The sequence below is a fragment of the Homo sapiens genome, chromosome 3, assembly GCF_000001405.40.
Source record: "Homo sapiens chromosome 3, GRCh38.p14 Primary Assembly".
Lineage (NCBI taxonomy): Eukaryota > Metazoa > Chordata > Mammalia > Primates > Hominidae > Homo > Homo sapiens.
In genome coordinates this window covers 128,268,194-128,292,222 of record NC_000003.12, presented here as the reverse complement: position 1 = coordinate 128,292,222, position 24,029 = coordinate 128,268,194, and the positions used below count along the sequence as shown (strand labels likewise).

General features: G+C 49.3%; 1 protein-coding gene across 10 annotated transcripts in view, besides 4 other annotated features; it reads right to left on the bottom strand.

Annotated features, from left to right (window-relative positions):
* EEFSEC (eukaryotic elongation factor, selenocysteine-tRNA specific) overlaps positions 1-24,029 on the bottom strand; it is a 272,743-nt gene that overhangs the window by 134,001 nt on the left and 114,713 nt on the right. The gene's annotated exons all lie outside the window — the stretch shown is intronic.
* Positions 4,940-5,441: an enhancer, noted in NCBI's record as "H3K27ac hESC enhancer chr3:128005625-128006126 (GRCh37/hg19 assembly coordinates)". NCBI's record gives its function as "activates a minimal SCP1, AML or CMV promoter by ChIP-STARR-seq in primed H9 embryonic stem cells {active_cell/tissue: H9 hESC(primed)}" and the evidence as "EXISTENCE:reporter gene assay evidence [ECO:0000049][PMID:30033119]".
* Positions 6,306-6,805: an enhancer, noted in NCBI's record as "H3K4me1 hESC enhancer chr3:128004261-128004760 (GRCh37/hg19 assembly coordinates)". NCBI's record gives its function as "activates a minimal SCP1, AML or CMV promoter by ChIP-STARR-seq in naive H9 embryonic stem cells {active_cell/tissue: H9 hESC(naive)}" and the evidence as "EXISTENCE:reporter gene assay evidence [ECO:0000049][PMID:30033119]".
* Positions 9,032-9,549: an enhancer, noted in NCBI's record as "H3K27ac-H3K4me1 hESC enhancer chr3:128001517-128002034 (GRCh37/hg19 assembly coordinates)". NCBI's record gives its function as "activates a minimal SCP1, AML or CMV promoter by ChIP-STARR-seq in naive H9 embryonic stem cells {active_cell/tissue: H9 hESC(naive)}" and the evidence as "EXISTENCE:reporter gene assay evidence [ECO:0000049][PMID:30033119]".
* Positions 11,102-11,619: an enhancer, noted in NCBI's record as "OCT4-NANOG-H3K27ac-H3K4me1 hESC enhancer chr3:127999447-127999964 (GRCh37/hg19 assembly coordinates)". NCBI's record gives its function as "activates a minimal SCP1, AML or CMV promoter by ChIP-STARR-seq in naive H9 embryonic stem cells {active_cell/tissue: H9 hESC(naive)}" and the evidence as "EXISTENCE:reporter gene assay evidence [ECO:0000049][PMID:30033119]".

Sequence of the window (24,029 nt, the reverse complement as noted above, 5' to 3'; positions counted from 1 at the left end):
TAAAATCAAAATCCAGCAATATATAAAAAGAATAATATTTCATAACAAAATAGGATTAACCCTAGGAATGTAAAGTGGGTCTGACATTCAAAAATCAATATATGTAACTTACTTAACAATATATGTAACCTACTTAGCAATAAGTGTAACTTAATTAACAGAATAAAGGAGAAAAACTATATAATAATTTAATAGAAGCAGAACAAGCATTTCAAAAAAATTCAACACCCATTTATGATAAAAGCTTTCAGCAAATCAGAAACAGAAAGGAACTTCTTGAATCTGATAAACGATATGCACAAAAAATCCACAGCTAACATATTTAATAGTGAAATAGTATAAACATTTTGCCCCTAACATCAGCAACAAGGTAAAGATATCTGTTCTCACCACTTATGTTGAACATTGTACTGTACTTCCTGGCAAGTGAATTAAAGCTAGGGGGAAAAAAGGCAAAAAGTGTAGAAAGGAATTATTTCCAGATATCATAACTGTTTGCAAAGAAAGTACTCAGAAATTCACAAAATAACTACTAAATCTAGTGAGAAATTTTAGCAAGGATCTAGTGAGCAATTTAGCAGGAAAAGATTTTGCAGCATATATGTCTTAAGTCCACTTTGTGCTGCTATAACAGAATACTTGAGACTGGGTAATTTATAATGAGCAGAAATTTATTGCCTCACAACTCTGGAGGCTGAGAATTCCAATATCAAGGTGCTGGCATCTTGCAAGGGCCTTCTTGCTGTGTCAGAACCTAGCAGAAGGCTTCAAGTGGCATAAGGGCAAAGAAAAGGTGAGAGAAAGAGCAAGAAAGGGATAACAGTATTAGTCTATTCATGAGGGTGGAGCCCTCAAGACCTAAACATCTCTTAAAGGTTGTACCTCTTAATATTGTTACAATGGCAACTAAATTTAAACATGAGTTTTGAAAGGGACAAACATTCAAACCATAGACAGCAACATGTGCTCAAAATATATAAATCAATTGTATTTCTATATACTAGCAGTAAATAATTGGAAAATAAAAAATATTTTCAACAGTGTCAAATAATAAAATATATAGCCTGGATGACAGAGCAAGCCTGTCTCAAAAAAGTAAAAAAAAAATACTTAGAAATACCTAGAAATAGGTTTATAAAAGAAGTATAAAACTGCACTTAAAATTATAAAACAGGCCGGGCACGGTGGTTCATGCCTGTAATCCCAGCACTTTGGGAGGCTGAGGTGGGTGGATCACTTGAGGTCGGGAGTTCGAGACCAGCCATGGCCAATATGGCGAAACCCCATCTCTACTAAAAATAAAAATAAAAAAAAGCCAGGTATGGTGGTGGGCACCTGTAATCCCGCTTCTTGGGAGGCTGAGGCAAGAGAATTGCTTAAACCTGGGAGGTACAGGTTGCAGTGAGCCGAGGTTGCACCATTGCACTCCAGCCTGGGCAACAGAGTGCAACTCTGTCAAAAAACAAACAAACAAACAAAACAACCCCAAAAAACGATAAAACATTACTGAGAAAAACTAAAGACCTATATCAATAGGAAGATATACCATGTTCATGGATTGAAATACTCAATACTGATATCAATTGTTCCCAGTTGTGATCTACAGATTCCATGCAATGCCAACCAAATTCCAATACTTAAAAAAAAAAAAAAGTTGACTTGGAAATCTATATAGATGCAAAGGACCTAGAAGAGCTGAAACAAAAGAACAAAGTTGAAAGATTCATATTACCTCATTTCAAAATTATAAAACTACAGCAATCAAGATAGCATGAGAAGACAATAAACGTAAACAGAGCACTGGCACAGAAGTAGACCCACACATATTCAGTCACTTGATTTTTTTTAAGAGATGCCAAGGCAATTCAAAGGGGAAAGACAAATTTTTTTCAATAAGTAGTGCTGAAACAATGCATACATATATGAGGAAAAAAAAAACCTTCAATCCTTTCTTCACACCATACAAAAAAATTAATTTGGAATTGAACACAGACCTAAACATAAAAGCTAAAACTTTAAAGCTTCCAGAAGAAAACATTAGAGACTATCTTCACAATTCTGGGATAGGCAAAGGCAAAGATCTCCTAGAGAGGACACAAAAGGCATAAGCCATAAAAGAAAAAATAATAAATTGAAGTTCACCAAAATTAAAAGCCTTCAAAAGACACCATTAACAAAATGAAAAGGCAATTTATAGACCGGGAGAAATCATCTAAGTATGTGTTATCTGACAAAGGACATGTGCCCTAAATATATAAGAACTCTTACAAATCAACAATAAGACAAACAACCTAATATAAAAATGTGTAAAAGAATTTAGCAGTCATTTCACAAAAGAAGATTATGGGATGGCCAATCCACACATTAAAAGGTGAGCAACATATTTCCATTCTACCATATTGGTGGCCCCCACAGCAATGAGACAGATGTCTGCCACTCTGCCTAAAGGAAAACCCTCAAACATGACAGCAAGCCTCTGCAGAAAGATGGCTGGAAGGGCGGTGCAGAGAAGTGAGCAAAGGTCCCAAAGGTAGCACAAAGGCAGGATCCAGGCTGCAGACATGTTTTGTTTGACCCATACTGTGTGACAAAAAAACTCAAGCCTATATTTTAAAATGGGACATTTCACTTGAAAATCCAGATTTCCAGCTTCTCCTTAAAAATGACAAAATCTAGGTATTCCAGTTTTGCATTCCCATGCACAGTTGAGATGAGTGGTGGGTCTTCAGTGTGCCCAGGTCTACTCACACAGTGTAAAGAAGTACAGTTCTTCCCATGTGCTGCTTCCCTCCATCTGCCTCCTGCCAGGCCCTAAAAGGCACCTGAATTTGTGATATGGCTCTAGAGCCTGCATCTTGGCAAGAGTCTGGAAGGTACTGAGAATGTGCAGGATGCAGAAAGAAAGGCATGAGACATAGTGGTGGCCTCCAGGTCTTGGTAAACTGGTTCCTATAAAGCGGGAGTGGGGAACCTATATTTGGAACTGTCCCAGGAATCAGCATTTAGGCCACTGGGGAGAAGTTCCACAGAGCTGAGTGGTGGTGTCGCTCTGTATTAGCAGTATTTCTCAGAGGGGCCCAACTGGCTAAGGCACAGCTGCCTCAGGTGGGAAAATGTGCAGACATGAATTGAAAAGCGTGTTCCCTATGCTGGGCGAGGAAGCTGGTACATATCCCTGTAGCTCCTTAGCAGTGCCAGACTCTGATCAGAGATAGCGATACTCTAACTTCTGCAGAACATTACTCCAACTGCAAAGGCCACCATTTCAAGGACAATCACAATAACCTCTGAAAAGCCCTATACCTCCAGGCACCAACGGACCCATGAGGAGCTGCAAATGTTTTCAAATAGGAAATGCCTTGACCAAAAATAACTTCACTGAAACTGGAAAATGCCTGTGCTGTCTTCACTGGCCCAGTCCAATAGCACAGGCCTTTGGTTCTGGCATCCAAGTTATTCTTCTTAAAGGAATACCACTTAAACTACAGTGATGGGGCAAGACATTTCCATCTGGAGACTTCTGATGGTTAAGTCAACATGTTCACCTGCAAAGTATAAAGTATAGGTCCTCTACTCCAACCAATGTACTGGCAGCTTGCTGTATCCTAGGAGAACTCCCTGAAGTCAATGGCCACAGTGAGCCCCAAATCTCAGGGCCCAGGGTGCACATTTGTTCAACAAGGGATTCCTGACTCCTGCTCTGGGCCTGGCCCTATCTTGGGGTCCCAGAGACAAGTCACAACAAGGAAAACCCCACTCAACAGACCCTGATTTGCAGATCACTGGTAAAGAAAGGCAGGAACTCAGGCTTTTGCTGTGGCACATACGACTTATATGTGGATTTATATATTCTTTATTCTTCTGGTCTAGAATACAGTGAAAAGGACACTGGAAGTGGAGTAAGGAGACCTAAACTCAAGTTCCCATTTGTCAACTCTATGACCTTGACCAAAACACATCATCCCTCAGAGCCGAGTTTTGTCTGCCAAAGCCATCTCCTAGGGATCCTGTGAAAACCAAAATCGCTTACTTGAAATAACTGAAAAAAGCACCTGTGCCAAACATTTACACTTTAAAAGAAGAAATACAGAAGTCAAGCAAGAGACTAGATGCAGCAGAAGTGTTCGTCACTGGAAGACCAGTACAAATGAATGATGGCGTACCTGTATTATCACTAATGCAGCAGTGAAAAAGAAAGAAAGGCAGGTCTATCTGTTCTCATACCAGAGTATCTTCAAAGACAGAGTTTTTTGGGGGGGGCGGGGGGAAACAAGGTACAAAACAATGTGTATACTATGTTATCATTAATATACAGGAAAAAAGGAGATAACGATATACATGAATATGCTTGAATGCACATAGACTATTTCTAGAAAGAAACCAGAAATGGTAATAGGGTAGGAACTATACATCTTTTACATAGTTTGAATTTTTTTTCCCCTATCTTGAGAATCCATTACCTATTTTTTTAACAATTAAAAATTTAAGTTAAAGATAAATGCTGTAGTTATTGCATCCCCAACTGATGGTAACCCAAGGGGAACCCTATTCTTACCGGCACTTTGATGTCTCTGGCCTATGGGCTTTCCCAAAGAGCAAGTCTCCCAGTCTAACTCCAGGAGACTCAGTCTCTGGGGTTTTCTCAAACTACAGCTCATCACATCACCACCTCATTCTTTCCTCCTTTTGTCTACAGCTAGCCTTGCTTTGCATATTTAGAATCCAGTGCATGTTGAGGCCTTAAGGAAGCCAAGGCTAGTAGGAAGAAAAGTGTAGCTGTTAAATGATTTCCATCCCCTCCCCAGCCTCCTCACTCTCTCCCATTTAGTACAGTTTGTCATGCTGGGACTCCACTTCCCAGGGCCCCCAGATTCCATTCTTGATCTCATTCCTTCCTCCCCCCATGGCTGCACAAGCCCGCCTGCCCCCTTGGAGCTGCATCACTGTGAGTTCTCTCTGAGCTCATCTCCACCTCAGCCTGACAGCAGGAAGGGCTTCACGCTTCAAGACAAAGGGGGACATTTCACCACTTTATTTGCCAAATTGGCCCTCAGGGTTCACTCTTCCAAATAATCTGTCTGAACACCAACATTCTTGCTTCCATAGATCAGGGGCTCAGGGACCTGTGGACAACCACAGTAAAAAACCACCCTTGTTCACAGGCTTCACAATCTTGTGTCAGTGGTAAGGGTGAACTGTGATGGAACAAATAAGTGAGTGAATGCTGGTGACAGGAGCCAAACATCATACTGTTGGAGGGAGGTCACAGACAAGCAAGGAGGCAAGCCTAGAATGAGCCATGTGTACTTGATTAGAGTCAGAGACAGAGCATGAGCTCATGTTCAGCTTGATGTAAATGCAGATAGGTAGATGCCTCTGTATCTATAATGGTAGATATGCACATATGGGTTGCTATATATACATTTCTTTCCTAGCTCTATCTGCTAAAAGGACCTAGAAGCAATGATGCCCCAGCAGCAAGGAGCACACACCCTGTCTCTAATACCATTCTCCTATAGAAGGTGTCAGGCTCCTTGGAGAAGTAGCTGATTCCAGGTCTGGGGCAGGAAACAGGATGAGCCTGGAACACCTTATAGTGCCAGAAAGTGCTCAGAAAACAAAAGGATGGGCCATGTCAAGAGGACACAGGAGCTGGCCTCATAGAGCTCCATGGTCAAGGCTGGAACCATTTGAGCAGCAAAATAATGTAGCATTGGATTATAACCCAAAGTATAAAATACATATCCAAAGTCTAGCCTGATAAAAATACATAACTGAGTTAATAAACTGGGAGAAGAGACAAGTCTCCTGTAAGGAAGAATTCCAAATAATTACATAGATACTCCTTTCTCAAGGAGGTAGAGTTTAACTCCCTCCTGCTTCCCGCCTGGATCAAGCTCTGTGTGCAAGGAGACTCCAGTGAGGGAGGGGTAGTGGAGACAGACACTGAATAGATGACCAGTATGTGTGCCAGAGCCACAAAGGGAAGGGTGCAAAATGCTCTGGGAATGTCCCTCATGAACTATAGTCAAGTCATGTAATAGGACCCCATACAGCAGTAAAAATTCATGAACTGAGACTGTACATATCAGCAAAGAGAAACCTGAAAATCATAGTGCTGAATGCGAAGAGCAAGCTTGGCATAGGGTACACACAGAGCGTCACCATTTATCTACAAGACAGAGCAAACAATGCTGTACACACATGCATGACTACAAACCCATGTGGGAGATGTACTTATATCAAATTCCAGATAGAAAAAATATAACTAGCAGAGCAAACTCATGAGTTCACAGATATTATCAAGTTCTCTTTTCACATAAATTTGAAAATGTTTTAAAGAATGATGGTTAAACGCCTAAGGTGAAGCACACACAGCACAGGTAAAGCACAAGAATGCAGCGTAGACATGGGGATGGCTGTGAAGGGGCAGGGAGTGGCAGGGTGCTGGCGGCTCCAGGAACGTGGGACTGGCCTGACGCTGGACAGGAATGGGCTAAGGGAGCGTGGGCGAGGGGAGCTGGGTTGGTGTCCATGATGGCTGTGCGAGGGAGGAAACCATGGCTAAATTTTTGAAAACAACTACAGATTGGGGATCAGTAGGGAAGCACAAGAGGGTAGACCCAAACACAGAGGATCCTGCAGGCTGGACAGAGGAAGTGGACATGCTACAGGTGGTGAGGAGGAGGGGACACGGCAGTGCTCCAGCCCTGGCCCTCCTCACTCCCCTCTACCTCTCAGGCCCAGCCATCTCTTTCACAGGCCTGTCCCTGCTGCCCAGCCATTATGTGCTACAGTTCTCCAAAAGCAAGGCCTTCTCCCAAGCTGATTTCTCCAGCCCCACAGTGTGAGCACCCAGGGGGACACTCTCGACTCTGGCTCTGACAGCACTGGGCTTTCCACCCCATGCCTCCCAGGCTCTGCAGCACCATAGCTCCCACGCCAGAGGCACCTTCTTCCCCACACATGGTTTTCTGCATCCACAGCACCATCACCCATCTCATCATGTGAGCCAGAAACCCAGAAGTACCCATGACCCCACCTCTTCATCTTGCCCCGTGCTCAAGGCATCATGAAGACTTGAGGCACCCTAGGTACCTCTTAAGCCCAGCCTGTTCTCTCCCACTCTCCCAACACCTCCCTAGACCAAGCCGTCATCAACCCTCACCTGGACCCAGCCAGCTTTCCACACCCACTCTGGACCCCTCCAACCAGACTCCCACCTGGCCAGGGGTCCTTATTCCCTACCCTCTTCCCCTGCTTAAAATCCTTCAGTGGCTTCTCCTTACATATTGCATTAAAAAAAAAAAAACGTTAAAGCATGCTGGTTAAACGCTTAAGGTTAAGCACACATAGCTCAGGTAAAGCACAGGAGTGCAGTGCAGACATGGGAACAGCCGTGTAGACATGGGGGAGTGGCAGGGTGGTGGCGGCTCCAGGAGCCTCCCCTATGACATGTACAGTCTTAGTTCATGAATTTGTACAGCTATATGGGGTCCTATCAAATGACTCGACTATAGTCCATGATGGACATTCCCAGAGGATTTTGTACCCTTCCCTTTGTGGCTTTTGCACATACCCTGGTCATTTGTTTAGTGTCTCTCAGGGGAAAGGCAAGTGGGCAGAGGCTTTCCCCTCATCAGGTAACCCTGAGTGCCCAAAAGCCTGCTCCGACCCTCTGCTTGCATCTTAGCCTCTCTGAGGCTCCAGTAACTGAGGAAGGAGCCTTGGTGGCCTGCACAGTGCCAGAAGCCCCATCCCCCACCCCCAACCCCCAGCACTGGGCAGGCCCCCAAGGCCCTCCAGCTTGCATGAAGTCATTTAGTGGAGAAGCAAACAGATCATGCATTTCTATAGCTCCAATCCTATAAAATCAACTGGTTCATCAAGACAAGCTTTAGTCGTCAAGAAAAGATGGAATTATATGCAGTATTCTAGGAAGAATTGTGTAGTTCAAGGAAAGGCGGGAGTATGAAATACGTTTTAGAAAGATTCCCAAACTCAGATAAAACATAATTACTTTGGGCTTTACAGTCAGCTTCATGACTATAGGATCTTCATTATTGAAAGAGGAGAGACATTCAGGTTGTGTGGGGGGTGGAGGGCTGGAGGTGCCACAGCAGCACGGTGGTATGACTCTGCCAAGGCTCATGCCATGGTGTAGCCGTGTATGTTACTCACAGGAACTGCTGGAGGGAGGCTGATACATGGCAGCACCCGTGCTCTCCAGCAAATGGGGAAGGGTACATGTACCTCCTTCTTAGTAGTGTTGAAGTTTTAAGGAGAAGTATGTATCATTTTTAAAATCTGAAGATAATGTTAAGATGTTGGATCTCCCTCTCCCATTTGGGCGGGTGCTGATTTAGCTTCCCCCAGTTCCCCAGTGTGGATGCCTTTGTTGGTCTAAGACTGGAAACAAAACAGGGGTTCTTCCTGCAGGCCAGGGGTGAGGGCAGCCTCACACAAATGTCACCAGCCACAAGGACACCCAGTTCTGCCAAGGTGTGGACTGCTCTATGAGCCAGCAGAGCTGGGGCTTGCACCTGACAGGACATTAACGGTGACACTTGACTCCTAGGGGAGACAGTGCTTGAGTGTCTATACCAATTCGGCCCCAGGACAAGGCTAGATCTCAGCACTTGTGCAGCATTGCTGGGCAGGAGGAACTGGAAGGAAGCACAGAGGCCAGTCTGGAGCTGCCTAGGGTTCCACAAGACGTGGGCTGCCTGGAGGGTAGAGCCACACAGAACAAAGTAAGTGCATGGAAGGAGACAGTACTGACAGCTTCCAAGCCCCACACTACCATACTTGGAGCACAAGTACCCTGACTTTTCACTTGTGGAAGCAAGTAAATTTCCTTTCCTTCCTTATGCTCATCTGAGTTGGTTACTATCACTAATAATAATCAAACGAACGAACATAGCCACCCCTCTGGACACAGTGTCCTCCCTTCAATGAGACCTGGAGCTGAATCAGTATCCTCAAGCTTTCTGCTGGGCTGTCCTGGGATGGGAAAGAGGACGAGCCTTAACCGCCTAGTCCCTCTGTGTGTTTCCAGGTGCCACAGGGCCCCAAAGGGGCAAGGGAGCAAGGCCCAAAGCCAGTGCCTGAAAGGGCTCCTCTGAGCAGCCTGCTTATACACAGCAGGTCCTGATGGGGAGAAAGAGCTGTGTTTTCAGAAGAAATCCACTGCAGGCCTCCTGGCAGGAAGCACCCAACCGTGTTCCCAAGAAAAGGCTACTCACTTAAAAGGGAGGCACAGTTGTAGGGAGCCCAGCGCTCTAGTCCCTCACTCTGGCTGACTTCCGGCCAGCCCTGCTTGCTTCCCGAAGGCCGTCAGCCACAGCCTGGCACAAAGCCTGTGAAGTCGGGAGATCAGTCACAGAGAAGGAAGCCAGGCCAGAGCAGGGAAGGATGACAGGCAACCAGCGGCAGAGCCAGCCTAACCCCAAGGTACTCAGACTCACCAGGTTGCCTCTCCCAGGAGGTAACAGTCCCTAGATTTTCCCCACCTGAAGTCTGTCAGTGCTGGCACCTAGATGATGAAAATCTTCACATACCAAGTCCCCGGTGAAATGGGCAGCTTCCCCAGTCCCCCTTCCTAAGCTGTGTACACTCTAGGGCTCACGATGAGATGCCTGCCACATATTCTGCATGTGCGCGTGTGCACATGTGCACGTGTCCTGGCAAGCAGCTCCAGTGCGTGTCAACATGTGGGTCTGCTTTCAATTGCGCTGGAACAATTCTACCTGATAAACAAAAACAGATCCAAAATAACCTTTGGCAAGCAGCATATTTTTAAAAGAAAGAGAAGGTCCGAATGAACTGGCAAGAGCAATGCTTAAGCAAACAAATTTGGTCAAGCCAAACATCCATGGTGCACATCAAAAAGCCCCTCAAAGGGCTCCCTGTGAACCGAGGCCGGCAGCAGGGAAGGAGGCTGGAGCTGATGCACTCCTGGCTTGGAAGAGACCAGCCACCCACTTCCCACCACCAGTGGCTGGCATTTCATGTGGGTCACAGGGTTAGACCAAGTCGGGGTCAGGAGGTGAGAACTCTGCTCACAGCAGGGGAAGACAGAGGCCCAGTCCAGGCACCCTTGCTCCAGGTAGCCCCTCCTCTGGGCCCTGGTGGGCAGGTAACTGTAAGGGCACGTGGGGAGCACGGGACCTGTGGGAGAGTCTCAGAGCTCCCACTTGGTGAAGCAGCCAAGTTCCCAAGGCAGGCTGGACAGCCTCAGCTTCTCCTGTCAGAAATCCATTCAGGCTCCAGAGCCAAAGCAGGATCAGGTCTGCAACTGCCTGCTCAGATCCCACGACCACCACTAACTCAGGGGAACGCCCCAGCTTCCCACACACTGTCAACTACAAAACAGCTGAGAACCGGAGAGTGCAAGTCGCCAGGCCCCCATCAGCCATAAGGCTCAAAACCCCCGCACAGGGCCCAGAGGAGGACCCCTGAGTGCCTGCCTCAGAGGTTCCTCCCCTATCTGTCCTTAGGACATGCTTGAACCAGCCAGGCCCTGGAGTGGATCCCAGAGGTGGCATGCTGGTTCTGTCCTCCCTGGTCCATCCAGGAAGACAGTGAGACCCAGCCAAACCCCATCCTGGTGAAACTCTCCAGGAACTTCCTGGAGCCAGGCCCAAACCCCTTACTGCCTGGCGTTTTGGGATTCTAGAACCTCCAAGAGGCTGGTATCTTCATGTCTCACATCCTCATCCACCCCATCCCCAACTTACCCATGCTACCTCTGCATACAAAGTCAAGTTTCTGGAACATACTCTTACTAGAAGTGGGCTGGAGGCTGCCACACCACATCAGGCCCCTTCTCTCTCAAGACCCCAAATCTCAGCTAAAATGGAAGTGACCCTGGAGGGGCTGCAATCACTCCTAGGGACCCCAGAGCAGCTGCATGCAGAAAGCTGGGCCATGGAGGAGCCAAATTAGGGGCCAGCTCCAGGGATGTTATAAACCATTGCTGCTCACAGGACAGGCACAGAAGTATGCTCAGAAGGAGGGTCCGATCCACATTTAAAATATGTGACTTAACTTCTCTGGACCTTGGATTCCCCTCACCTGTTAAAGGGAAGAAGCTCCTGCTATGGTGCTGCGGGGAGAGCAGGCTTTCCATGGACAGGAAATTATCACTGTCACCACCTGCAGAGACCTGTTTGCCTAGGCTGAAGCGGAGGGGGTAATGAAAGAGTCAGCAAAGATGGCAGCTGCTGTGAAAGGGACGAAAGTATTTGTATATGATAATGTGCAGGCAGCCTGGGACAGCAGGGAAGGTCACCAAACAATGCGGCCTCAGCCTCAGGCTGCATCTCCGAGGAGGGGAGTGTGGAGGGGAAAAAAAACAGTGAGTAGGAGAAAAAGGGCTGAAAACTTCAGAGAAATGAGCAGAAACAGCTGGGAGGGGAATCATGCAGGGCGGCTAGTGAAGGAGAAGGGGGTGAGGGTTGGTGCCCAGAGCTTCCCCAATAAAGTAGAGGCTGCCGCTTGCTGTGCGAGCCCCAGCTTGAGGGCCCAGAGGGAAGACCGTACAGAGGCAAGGAGGGCACTGCCATGTGGAGGGCAAATGCCAACTGGTGCCAGGGAGCTCCTGGAGGGCTCAGGGAGGACAGGGAAGCCCAGTAGTGGCATCCATGCACAGGGGCCAGGAGGAGGGGCCCATTCCAGCTTTCTGAAAAGGAGGTGGCCCTCAGCAGAACAGTGCCAGGCCAGACCCCTGGGCTCCCTACACAGAGGCCTCCCCAGCAGAGAACGGACTTTCCAGGCCAAAGCCGAGTGAGGGCACAAGGGAGGTGAGAGAGAACAGGGAAGGACAGAACAAAAGTTGCTCTTTTTCCAGTTCTTTATATTTTTTCTTTCATAAAAGCCACACAAGAAACAGATGAATACCAGCTCGTTGTAAAAGATTTAAACACCAATTAAATAGACTGAAACATGAAAGCTCTCTTTCAGCCCTCTAAATTCCACTTTCCCTCACTCCTCCAAGATGCAGCCACTGTTCTCAGTTTGCTGTCTCCTTCCAGATTTTTTGATGCATTTGTATACAAACATATGCAGACAGTTTTCCTACATAATGGGACCAAATCATACATATTGAGATTTGGTTTTGCAATTAGCATTTTATTTATTCACAGGACATTTATTAAGGGCCCAGGAACATGACTGACAAAAGTCTCTGTCCTCGCGGATCTGATGATTCTAATGGTGGTCTTTCCACATAGATCTGCACCATCGTGTTCGATGGGCACGTGGTATCGCACGGTTTAGAGAACCAGACCCACCGCTGGACACTGAGCTCGTGTGCACTGACTCTTGGTATAAGAACAGTGTGGTAAACACCCGTGCCATGTTCCCTTGGGCAACTGCATGTTGAATAGGCAGAGAAGGCTGGCATAGGAATTAGTCCCCCCAGGAAGCCAGTCAGGGGCAGGCTGCACACCTCCCACTTAAAACCACAGAAACTGAATGGGGGCCATGCCTGGGAGCAGGGGGACAGGGAATGTGTGGAGCAACACCAATCCTGGACCCTGGCTCCTACTGGCATACAACTCTGGGTAGGTCTCGTCTCCCCTCTGACCCTATGGCTGCCTGCTTCATGGGAAAACGACCCCCACATGCTCAGCCCCAGGCAGCACTCCAAACATGGATGTGGTGTGTCTGGGGCAGGGCCCCTGAAGGGTGCAGGCCCATCAGAGTCCAGGCAGGCCCAGCAGCTGAGGGGGCCGCCTGTTCTAGGCCACTGGTTCTCCGCCAGGGATAATTTCCCCCCAGGAGGCATTTAGAATGTCTGCAGACACTTGTGGTCATCACAGCTGGGAGAGGGTGCTATTGGCATCTAGTGGGTAGAGGCCAGGGATGCTGCTAGACATCTACAGTGCCCAGGACAGAGGATTATTGGCTGAAACATCAATGTGCTGAGGTGAAGGAGCCCTGCTTGTAGTTCAGCACTGGAAGGGTTAAGTGGCCGCACAGCCCGAGCTGCCTTCCTGCCTGTCTGCACCCCTGCCCGCAGTAAGGGCTGTACTAAGCTGGGCGGGAGATGGCCGCCACTGCCCAACGCCGCCGCCGTATGGTTCACATTAGCTGCGCTCTGCTTGGCAGCGTTCCCTCTGGCGGCCGGCCTTCCCTCCCTGCCCCACCATTCTCCTCCCCAACTCAAAGGAAAATACCAGGATCCACACAGAAAACCAGCTCACTCCCCTCCTGTCTTTTAGCCTAGTTTTGAATCAAACAAGCTCTTAAACTCCTGACCTTCCGCCCAGTCACCCTGGTTTGTTTCGCAGCAGCAGCTGCCACAGCAGCAGCATTGGAGGCTGCAAGGGGGTGGGCAGGGGCCTGCCCTCTCTATTACCTGGAGATTTTGCAGACTGGCACTAGCACCATGCAGGCTGGGCAGCTTCTCCCAGAGTGTCCCTAGAAATACCCTCCCCTGCACCCTAATATGCCAAAGCTGGAGCCACTCAGACCCTTTCACAACTAGGAAGGCTCCCCCACCATGAACAAGAAGAGGGTTGGGAGCCTTTAAAGCATCGGAATTATAACTTTAGATGAAACAGCTGAAGCTTGCTTTTTAACTTTTCTTTTCTAGCCAGAGGCCCCAACTACCAAGGTTGGAGCCACCAACAGCACATAAATATATGTCCTATCCCAAACTTCTCTGAGCTTCAGACACTTATGTCAGCTTGCTTCCTAGACCTTTCCAAGTGGGTTCCCCAAACGTCCCCAACTTAGTGAAGCCCAAGCCATACTCCTGGCTCTGTTCACTCTCCCCTCCAGATTGTTCTGGATTCTCTCTCACCAACGGCTCCTCCACCTGGCCTGTCACTGAAGCCAGAGATCTGGGGTCCATCGGTAATATGCCTCTCCCCTTCACTGTCCCTATATCTAGTCCATCACAAAGCCTTGTTAATTCCATCTCCTGAATGCCTTTAATGCCCATTGGATTGCTGCCAGCTTGATCCAAGCCACCTCAATCTGCCTGGACTATGGCAACAGCCTCCCCACTAGTCCCCAGAAAGGTCCTGGCTCCCCTCAAATCTGTTCTCCAAACCATCTGTCTTTCCCTCAAACACACAAATAAATTGCACACACACTACATCACCCACCCTGCAAAACCAGCTGCGTCATAAGAATAGACAGAACTTGAACTGGCCTTGCATGGTCTGGTGCCACTTACCTCTACAGCACCTCTCACCCCACATTTGTCTCTGGGCTCCAGTCCAGATGCCAAATGCCTTCCTTTTAGGTTTTCAAACACATTAGGCTCTCTCCCACCATGGGGCCTTTGCATTTGCCCAGAATCCTCTCTACCCACACCTTGCTCATCTTCTCCTAGTAAGTCTTCCTCCTCCTTCGGACCTGAGAAGCCTCCCCTGACTTCAGCCCAGGTTGGTTCCCTTGCTATCTGCCCTCAGAGAACTCTCCCCTGTCCTGGGAAGGCCCCATCTCAGGCCATATGTGCACATGTGCTCACGTGCAGAGCTGTCTGCCAGGCAGTAAGTCCAGCAGGTAGGCAAATGCGAGCACACAAATCGGGATTCACCCTAATCTACACATCCACAATGGATAGCTTCACAAACACCACAGCTGACAGCAAGCTAAGGTAGCTATGCTGCCCCAGGAGGGCAGGGGAGCCACAGCTGTCACTCACAGACAGCTCTGGCTGGCTCACTCTGTGAATCAATCACCCTCATCTAGAATCATCTCATTTAAATACTTTTAAAACACGCACACAAAAACAAAAACAAAAACAAAAAACACCCAAACTTTGAAAGGCTGGAATTTATTTATAAACAAGAACATGTTATAATGAAGCATTTTAGCAAAACTTCAAAGAAAAGCAGGCAAGTGCCTTTTTTAAATAAGGCATCTCATTGGCCCTTTCCCCATGATGATTACAAGTTGACACCTGTGAATAATTAAAGCAAGGTTTATGGTATTTTATTATTGTTTTATTTCTTAAAAGAAAGAATTATAAATACTCAGTTTAAGTAGTACATTGGCTTTACGCACACTCAGGAAACACTCAACTTTCCTTTAAAACAAACAAGAAAGTCCCAGCAGAGCCCCAGAGTGATGCCAGGGCAGTGAGGGGCCCGACACAGACTGCAGGTGTGGTCTGCCCTCCCTGAGGTGCCAGGCCAGAGGGTGAGAGGGGGCAGGCAGAGCCGCTCTGCCCAGAAGGGTCTGCTTCCTCAAGAAGAGGTTGGGAGGCCAGGCTCCCCAGTACTTGCTGTGCTTAGCCTGGATGCATGCCCTGGCCTCCAGCCCTGCTGACCTCCTGCCTGTCCCACAGCGTCTCCCCTTCCCTCCTGGTGGCAGAATGTGCCCAGCATTCCCACACTCTTCTCCCAGGCCTCTGAATGGCTGTACCCCTTCATTGCTCAAGATATTCATATCTCCACCTCCAAGAGAGCTCTCTTGGCCTACAGAACCCCTCCCATTCTCAATCGCCTCACTGTAAGGTAAATAAGGTGATTTACCAACTCATACCCCTACTGGTAGAAGGTGAACTGTAAGAACAGAAATGGGACCTGCCTTACTCACCCTCTACTCCTATGACCTAGCCTAGCATCTGGCTCATAGTAGGTGCTCAAGACTATGCGCTGAATGAATATGTTGGACACTGATGTAAAATCATTATTTTCTTTTCCTTCCCACAGTAACTCTACAAAGCAGGCTCTGTTATTAACATTTCCATGTTTTGCGGATAAGGAAGCTGAGGCTCAGAGAGGTTAAGTCACCCAGGCTGCACAGTATGTGACAAATCAGGGGCAGGACGTGAGCCAGGTTTGTCTAACTTCAGAGTCCAACCTCTGGCCCATGGTTTCCTCAAACTGCCAATAAAGGGAGTCCCTTTGGATGATTTGATGGTCACAAATGTTAATTCCTTGGTTCCTGCTGACTGGAATTCAGGGACCCGGGGTGGACCAAGAATGTTTAACAAGAATCTCAAGCAACCCGCCCTAACCCCCAGCTGAGTGTGAGAAATAATGAATTAGACCCTGCTAGGCAGCCCTGACTTCCACTGTCAAGGGCAGAGGCTGCCTACAGGATTTATTCCCACCCTGTGCAGGAGGCTGATCCTGGGACTGAGCCCAGGAGGGTGAGGAGGGCCAAGAAGGGGCCTGGGGAAAAGCTGGAGTGAAAGCACAGGGTCCTGGGACTTACAGGCTGGCAGGGCATGAGGGGGCGGAGTGGGGAGCAGCGGCACCCAGGAGCCTCGAGACCCTGTGGGCCCCTGGAGGGGCTCTCTTGCCTGATTCCAGGGTGCAGCTGTGCTTCCCCATCACAAGGCGTGGCCTACAGGACCCGACTCCAGCTGGAACATCTTCTAGACTCGGCCTTCCAAACATCCTCCCTACTGCCCTTTCAGAGATGACCACAACCACCTACGAACCACCCCACTTCTCAGACTCTCTGCAAGGAGCTCCATGTTTACCTCAGTCATGCCAGACACTCTCTCGCCTCTGGGCTTTAGCACATACTGTTCCTTCTGCTCAGAATGCCTGGGCAAAGCCCTCTGCCTTCTCTGAGACTCAGCTTCAGTCGCCTTGCCTGGGAAGCAGGGTTGGAGCCCTTCCAGTGCCCCCACCACACTCTGGAAGCCATGTTCACTCAGTGCCTTCCCCATATGAAGAAACAGCTGCCTGCCTGACCACCCCAGCCCCACTGAGGGCTCCCCCAGGGCCAGCTTGGGCTCTGATACCTGTCAGGGACTCCAGTCCCCGACATGACACGCATCAACAGTATCTGGAAAGGTTGTGGGCAGGGCTGGCTTCATGGGTGTGCAAGCTGAGGTCACACAGCCCTGCATGGCCACACTTTCATCTGAATCAGAGCTTGCTTCCAACCTAGAAAGGCAGTGGTCTTCAGACAGTCAAAGATCAGATACTCCTTTGTGGACCAGGCAGCACCCATGCTTGCATTGGGCACAACCTGGCACTGTCAATTGCCATTTACACAGCATTTTCTGCACCAAGGCCACTCCCAGCTGGGGCTCTGACACTGGCTGGGCACCCATTTCCCAGGAGAGGAAACCGCTTTGGGCCCCAGTATCGAGGTCCTGCCAGTCCTCAGGTCACTGCTAGACCCCTCGATGACATGCGCATCCTATTCCAAAGGCACCGCAGCCCACAGCTAGAGGGAGGAAATGACTGCACCCCCAGAGGCCTACAGGCATACAAGTTTCGGTAAGCCCAGCAAGCCCGCATCCATCTCACCCCTTGCTTCTGCATCTGACAATTCCACTGGCCTGAGTCACAGTTTCCCCTTGAAACTTAACTGACCACTGAAGGTAAACAAGATTGTGAAAGCAAATGGCCCTTGGGAAGAACCATTCCCACCTGAAGGCTGTTCTTACTTATTTAAGAAGGTGGCCTGGCCATACAGAGGGGCGTGTCTTGCCCCAGTCACACAGCTGGCCGTTTATGCCTGGGACCCAAGACTCTGTGTTCCTGCAGGGCACAGTGGATGGGAACCAGCCCTGGCATTCCATAAATGTTGTTTCTAATCAAATCCCTATCTTGTCCTAGAAACAATAAAACTCATTTAATTCCACCCAAAAGCACGTATAAGTTAGAGTGGTTTTCATACGACAACTTGTAGGGTGCTACAGCTGCCCTGGGAGTGTCCCAAGGCCACCCTGGGCCAGGGCCCACACCGACCTAGGCTCCCTCAACATGTGGCTTCTACAGGGGATGTCCAGAGGCCAGCCACACTCCCTACCCGCGCCACATTTGGCACCTCCACATCTGCTCCCCCAGCAACCACTGAGTGCTGCCTGACTGCCAGGGCTCCATGTAGAGGGTGCAGGGGCTGAGGCTTCCTGTGGTGACTGCGCCCACATGCGTGCGTGCTCTAGAGCAGCTTGCCCCTTTCCTCCTCCTCTTTGCTGCGACTCGGAGGAAGGCAGCATGGTCAACCCCACTGATAGACAAGGACGCTGAAGCTCAGTGTACTCAGGGAACTCACTTGAGCTCACAGGGCCAGCACATAGGTACAAACCCAAGCCCAGTTGCTCTCGAAGCCCTGCTGTCACTTCTTTGTAACACTGCCCCTCAGCTGGAAAGGGCAGGGTATGCTTGAGTGGTGGCTGCACTCAGGCTTTGGGGTGAGCAGGGGAGAGGCTGAATCCTAAGACATCCACCTGGCCTAAGAGCAGGAAGCTGCAGTTGAGGAGCCTGGTTGGGCTGGGGCAGGGCTTGATTTGTGGTCTTGGGCACTAGAGCCCCATCAAAGGGTTGGGAGGCTGCAGGTCAACCTGGGCCCAAGTGGGACTCTAGATGCTTACACCAGGCTTGAAACACACCAAGCACGACCAGACTGAGCTGGCATCTCTATAAAGGGGGCCCACCTCAGCAGTGGGGCAGCACCACTCCTGCCTGTCCCCTTCCTTAGGAAGACACCACTTGGGTTAAAGCCACCATTTCTCCCCTGCTCCAACCATGCCTGGGCCACCCAGTGCCATCCTTGCAGAAGACTGTGTGAAATGCTTAGGCCTATCAGGAGCGCAGACAGACCCACTGTCACAGGTCCAGGCCGCTCTCAGCACAAGAACCTGGCTGTACCCTCTGCCTGGACAGCTGACTGCAGGTCAGGACTCCAGCCAGTCATCCGCTTCTGGAAGCACATGCTGGTAGCAGTTCGTCTAGCTGCAACAGATTCTCAGGGGCCTGATGGAAAAGGGCATGCCATTCACTTGGGGTTTGGGGGTTAAGAACAAGCTCCAAGCTTCCACAGGAAAAAGGCCTGCAGGGGCAGCATCCTCCAACCTGCCAGAGCTTTAGGACACTGAGCATTGATCTCTGACAACAGCACCTGCAGAGAGAAGTCTTCCTGAGTTCCCTGCCTCCTGTGAGGTCAACCTTCCATCTTTGCCTGGCGACTGTCCTTCCTCAGCTGTGCCTCCTTAGGGAGACAACAGGATATTACAACTTGGCTGCAGGTGTGATTCAAATCCTCAAGCCAGGAGAAAGGCAAGACCTCACAGAGGCTCTTGGGGTCCTGGGTGCAGGCAGGAAATGCAGAGCTCAGACCACCCCACCCCAAGTCTCTGCACTCCATGGGCCAAGTAAAAAGGCCCATTAAAGAAAAGACAAGATGCAGAGTTGTACAGGGTGGTGATAAAGACAGTGAGGCTTACGTCAAGCCCTGCTGCAAGCACGCTACGTGGCTCTTGTCAAATCCTCATGACAACCTCTGGAGGAAGCCAGGGGAGGTAACTGCCCCGTGAGTGATGGGGCAGGACTCAAACATAGTCCATCTGTGTCCAGCACCTGAGCTGTGATGGTGTGGACACTGGGAAGCACCAAGCCAGTGGATACCTCTCAGTTTTGCCTGCCTGATGTCTATTCTGCATTTCCTAGGAGTAACCCAAATTTCTTAGTGAACCATCCCTCCCACCTTGTCCCTTCCAGCTCCAGGGGTGGACATGTAACCCAGCCAGCCCAATTAGAGCACTGTACTCATCCACAGGGATGAGCTCCCGTCCAACCAGGCCAGGAGCAGCCTGTTCCTTAATTGTGTTCCTAACAGCTAGGAAAGAGATGCCATTTTGCTCTCATATCATAAATGATACTTTGGTCCAAAAGTAACAGATAGCCCTGACTGGAACCGTGTGGAGACAGAGCTCTCACAATACACGAAGTTCTGAGGCGGGGCAGACACACAGCAGCCCTCAGGTGCAGGCTCTGCTTCTGGGCAACTCTCCTGCCTCCCAGCCTCTGCAAACCTCCAGCCTGGGAGTAAGGTGGCCGTTCAGCCCCTGAGTCCAGGCGTCACATCCTTCCTCCCTTCAATGTCCAGTGAAGGAGAAAAGCTGTCTTTTCCTGTTGAGTTCCAAAAAGCAGAAAAGCTTTTCCCCAAACCCCTAGGACATGTCCCTTCACATATCATTGGCCAGAGTCAGGTAACAAGCCGCTGCCAGGGGAGGGGTGTTCCACTGTCAGGACGGATCCTTCGATAGCGTGATGTTCAGGAGTCAACCACAAGTAGCACTGCATCTTGGATTTGAAGGAGAAAATGGAAAGCCAGAGCTGTGGGGATTATGCCAGGGAAGGTGCCACCTGAGTGTGTGGCCCACACACGACAGGGCAGAGCCAGTTCTGGAGCCAGCCAGCACTCCTGATGACATCCAGACGTCTCCAGCCCTGAGCCTATCTGTTTCCTATCCTGCTTAAGGCAATTGAAGTTGGGTTTCTGTCCTTTGAAACCAGAGTACTGCCTGATACACAGAGAGCAGTGGGAGGTCTTATGAGGCTTTAAGACAAGAAACTGAGGCTGGAGAGGTGATAATGAAGAGCTATGCTCTGCCTTCCGTGCCATGCACTTTAGATTTTATCCTGGAGACAATGAGGACCCACAGACAGATGAGCAGGACAGCAATAAGGCTTTTCTGTCAGCAGGGCTGGGCTGGACTCAAGAAGAAGACCTGGGAGGCAAGGGGAGGAGCAGCATGCCACAGAAGCGGCCCTGCAGGGCCCGGGAGTTTGAACCTGAGCAGTGGCCATGGTGCTGCAGAGGAAGGGCCTGATCTGCGAGGTCCCTCCTGAGGGCGACAACCAAGGGTGGGCTGATCTGCTCAAAGGGCCTAGCATGGCTTCCTCTGGCTTTCCCAAAACCTTCCTGGTTTCCTTCTCTGCCTTCTCTCCTTCCCAGGGAGCTCCAACCCTGTGCATCTGGTGCACCACACATGGGCACAGAGAGCAGAATCCCGTAAGCTTCCACTGCCAAAAGCCAGACAACCATGAAACATCAAATGCACAGAAACTGCCTTCCTTTATGTATCTTCTGGAACAGAAAATAGTTCAGGATGAAGGTCACTCAATATTTTCTAGATAAAAACACATGGCAGCAGAGGGAGCTCAGCCTTGAGAGCCGATATCCACAGGTGTTGGAAAGCCAGCTCTGCAGCCTCGGGCACCTGATTCACAGTCACTGCTCCCAGAATGAGGCAGCACAGGGACACAGGGAGCATCTCCACTGCTGCTTACTGATGGAGCATCAGGATGCAGCCTTGAAGACAGGGGCACAGCCCCAGCAGGAAGTGGGGGGCTGCCCAGCTCTGGGTTTCTGTAAATGGCCCCAGGGTGGCAGTGACTCCAAACACAGCCCTCTCAGGTCACTCATTACCTATTTCCAATCAAAATCCTACTGAAAAACAACTTGTTTATTTCCTTTATTGGCTTTTTCCTATTATTCCTTTCACCAAATATTTTCTGGGCCGAGCCCAGGATGGATGCCGAGAATACAAAGATGGAGGAGACTCAGCTTCTGCCCCCAGGGAGACCAGGGTCCACAGGAGATGCAGGCACAAAGACAAATACAAGCAGCAGGCAGCACAGAGGACGGGGCACACCTCTACCCAAAGGATGTGAGCCCTGAGCTGTGCTGGAAAGTGAGCATACTGCAGGTAGGGGAAAGCCCGGAAGGGCTCCAAGGAGAGAAGCAATGCAGCATTCCTCTGGGAAGGGGAGTGCACAGCGTTGCTGGAGGTGGGGGAAGGGCAGATCTGGAAGAGTCAAGACTGCAGGCTTGTTTGGGCAAGAAAATGGATTCTTTCCAGATGTCATAATCTTATCTCACCCTTGTGATTAGCTTCAAAGAGCAGAGGCAAAGGTAAAAGTAAAAACACCTACCAGTATTTAAGGTTTTCTTTTCCCTTTCTGGGGGGTTTTCAATGAAGAAGAAAATCAATCTGAATATAGACTTGATTTGGGAGGACTATGTTATCAAATTCTGAACTCTTCCCTAAAAGCTTTATCAACTAAATAGGTATCCAAATATATCTAATAATGTTTGTCATCATTATCAGAACATTGATTGGATTCATAGTGGACCATAGTGGGGTCCACATAGTGGGGTCCGCAAAGCATATTTGCATTTCAATAACTCACTTAGTAGCCCTGAACAGGACCTTACACCCAGGAAGGTGCCCTGACACTTACTACTTCCGGAACCCACAACAAAAATTCTACATGAGAATAATATCAAATGGCAACAATAAACATGACAAGAGTATCAGCTAAAGCTTGTATCTCCTAGATGCCAGGAACCTTATATACATTATCCCTAGTCCACACCACACCACCCTGACCCATCTTCCAGAGGTCCTGGACAGAGCCAAGCACACAGTGGTCATCCCAAGTTTGAGCTGAACCAGTGAAACACGAAGAGGTTGACTGACTTGCCTGTGGACACAGAGCTGGTACATGCCTGCCTTGAGTCCCTCTGCACTCCCAGCCCCTGCTCTCTTTCCCCATGGTCTGTGGCTTCAACAGTTTCTGATGTTACAACCCTGATAGCCAATCATCACCAGAAACATCACTAGCCTGAACCCCGAAGATCAAATCTTATCAGAGGGATTTCTCAGGCTGAAGATCGAGAGAGTCAAAATGCCTCAGCAGAAAGCTGGTGATTCTTAGGATAAGTGGCCTTTAAACTGTTCTAGGGACTAAATGGAATTTTTTTCTCCTTCACTCCCTGTTCCCCAACATTTTCTTGCTCAGCTAATTGGCCCCAGCTGGGAACAGACCTGGGCAACAGAAACGGGGGCCAGGGTATGGCAGGCTCCGCAGGCCAGCCCAGACTGGGAGGGGAATGTGACTGTTTATTTGGAATGGCTGTGCCCTGCCTCCAAGGGAGTTCAAGCGGTCAGATGTGTCCAAGTCTATTAGTGAAATCTGACAGGGATGTCACTGTGTTTGGAAAGAGGGCCATGGCCCCCCATGTCCCGGTGCCCAATAGGCACTGGCCACCAATCATGGCTGGAAGAGGGCAGGGGTGAGAGGAGGTCAGGAGTTCTGAACCTCAGGCTCTGCTGCAATGGGCTCTCGTACATGCCGCAGCCCAGGCAAGGCCTCAGCAAAGCACAGCAGCATGGCCACAGAACTGCCATGGGGCCTGCAGGCCCTGCCCTGGAGTAGAGGCACCACTACCAGCCCAGGCATCTCCTCTGGGGCTCCCGTGACAGCAGGGCACATGGCCAGGGCTGGGTCTTTGGAGCTGGATGAATGACTTCAAGTCCCAGCTCTGCTGTCCAGTTGCTTAAGTTTCCCGGGTCTAGGTTCTCTCACTTGTGGGATGGGCATGCCAGGAAAGAAAGGAACGGGCAGTGCTGGCCATCAGTATGCAATGGTTCTGACATGTTGCCCCCAGAAGCCCAAGATGGTGAGCAGGGGCAGCGACTCCCTGCGAGGAAGCCAAAGCTCAGAGTTAAGGGACCTGACAGGATCAGAAAGAACTTAAGGCTTTTTCTGATTTCAGTCCTTTCCATGCAAAATTCATAAGTTTCTTAGGGCTGCCATAACAAATTACCACAAATTTGATATCTTAAAACAACAAAATATTTCTTCTCTCACAGTTCTGGAGCCAGAAGTCCAAATCGACGTGTCAGCAGGGATGGTTCCCATGGAGGCACCGAGGCAGACTCATCTCCATGCCTCTCTCCTGGCTTCTGGGGGCTTCCGGCAACCATGGGCACCCCTTGGCTTGGAACAACAGAGCTCCAATCTCTGCCTTAGTCTTTATATGGACTTCTCTCTGTGACTCTCCGTGTCTTCTCCTTGTCTGTCTCTTATAAGGACACTGGTCATTGGACCTAAGGCCCACCCTAATCCAGGATGATTTCTTCTTAAGATCCTTACCTTAATTACATCTGCAAGACCCTTATTCCAAAATGGTCATATTCTGAGGTTCTGGTAGACATATTTTGGGGGACCATAATTTAACCTACTATAGTCTACCCTCTGGTACCCAAAATTTACATCCATCCCACATGCAAAATACATTCACCTCTTCAAACATCCCCCAAACTCTCAGTCCATTAGGCCATTAACTCTAAGTCCAAAATCTCATCTAAATTATCATCAGCTCAAAAAGTTCCTAATGTCATCATGTAAGTCACCTAATCAGGTAGGGGTGAGACTCTAGATATGGTCTATCCTGGGGCAAAATGCCTCTCCATCTGTGGACCTAGAAAACAATTTACCTACTTCTAACATTCCAAAAGGGAGACG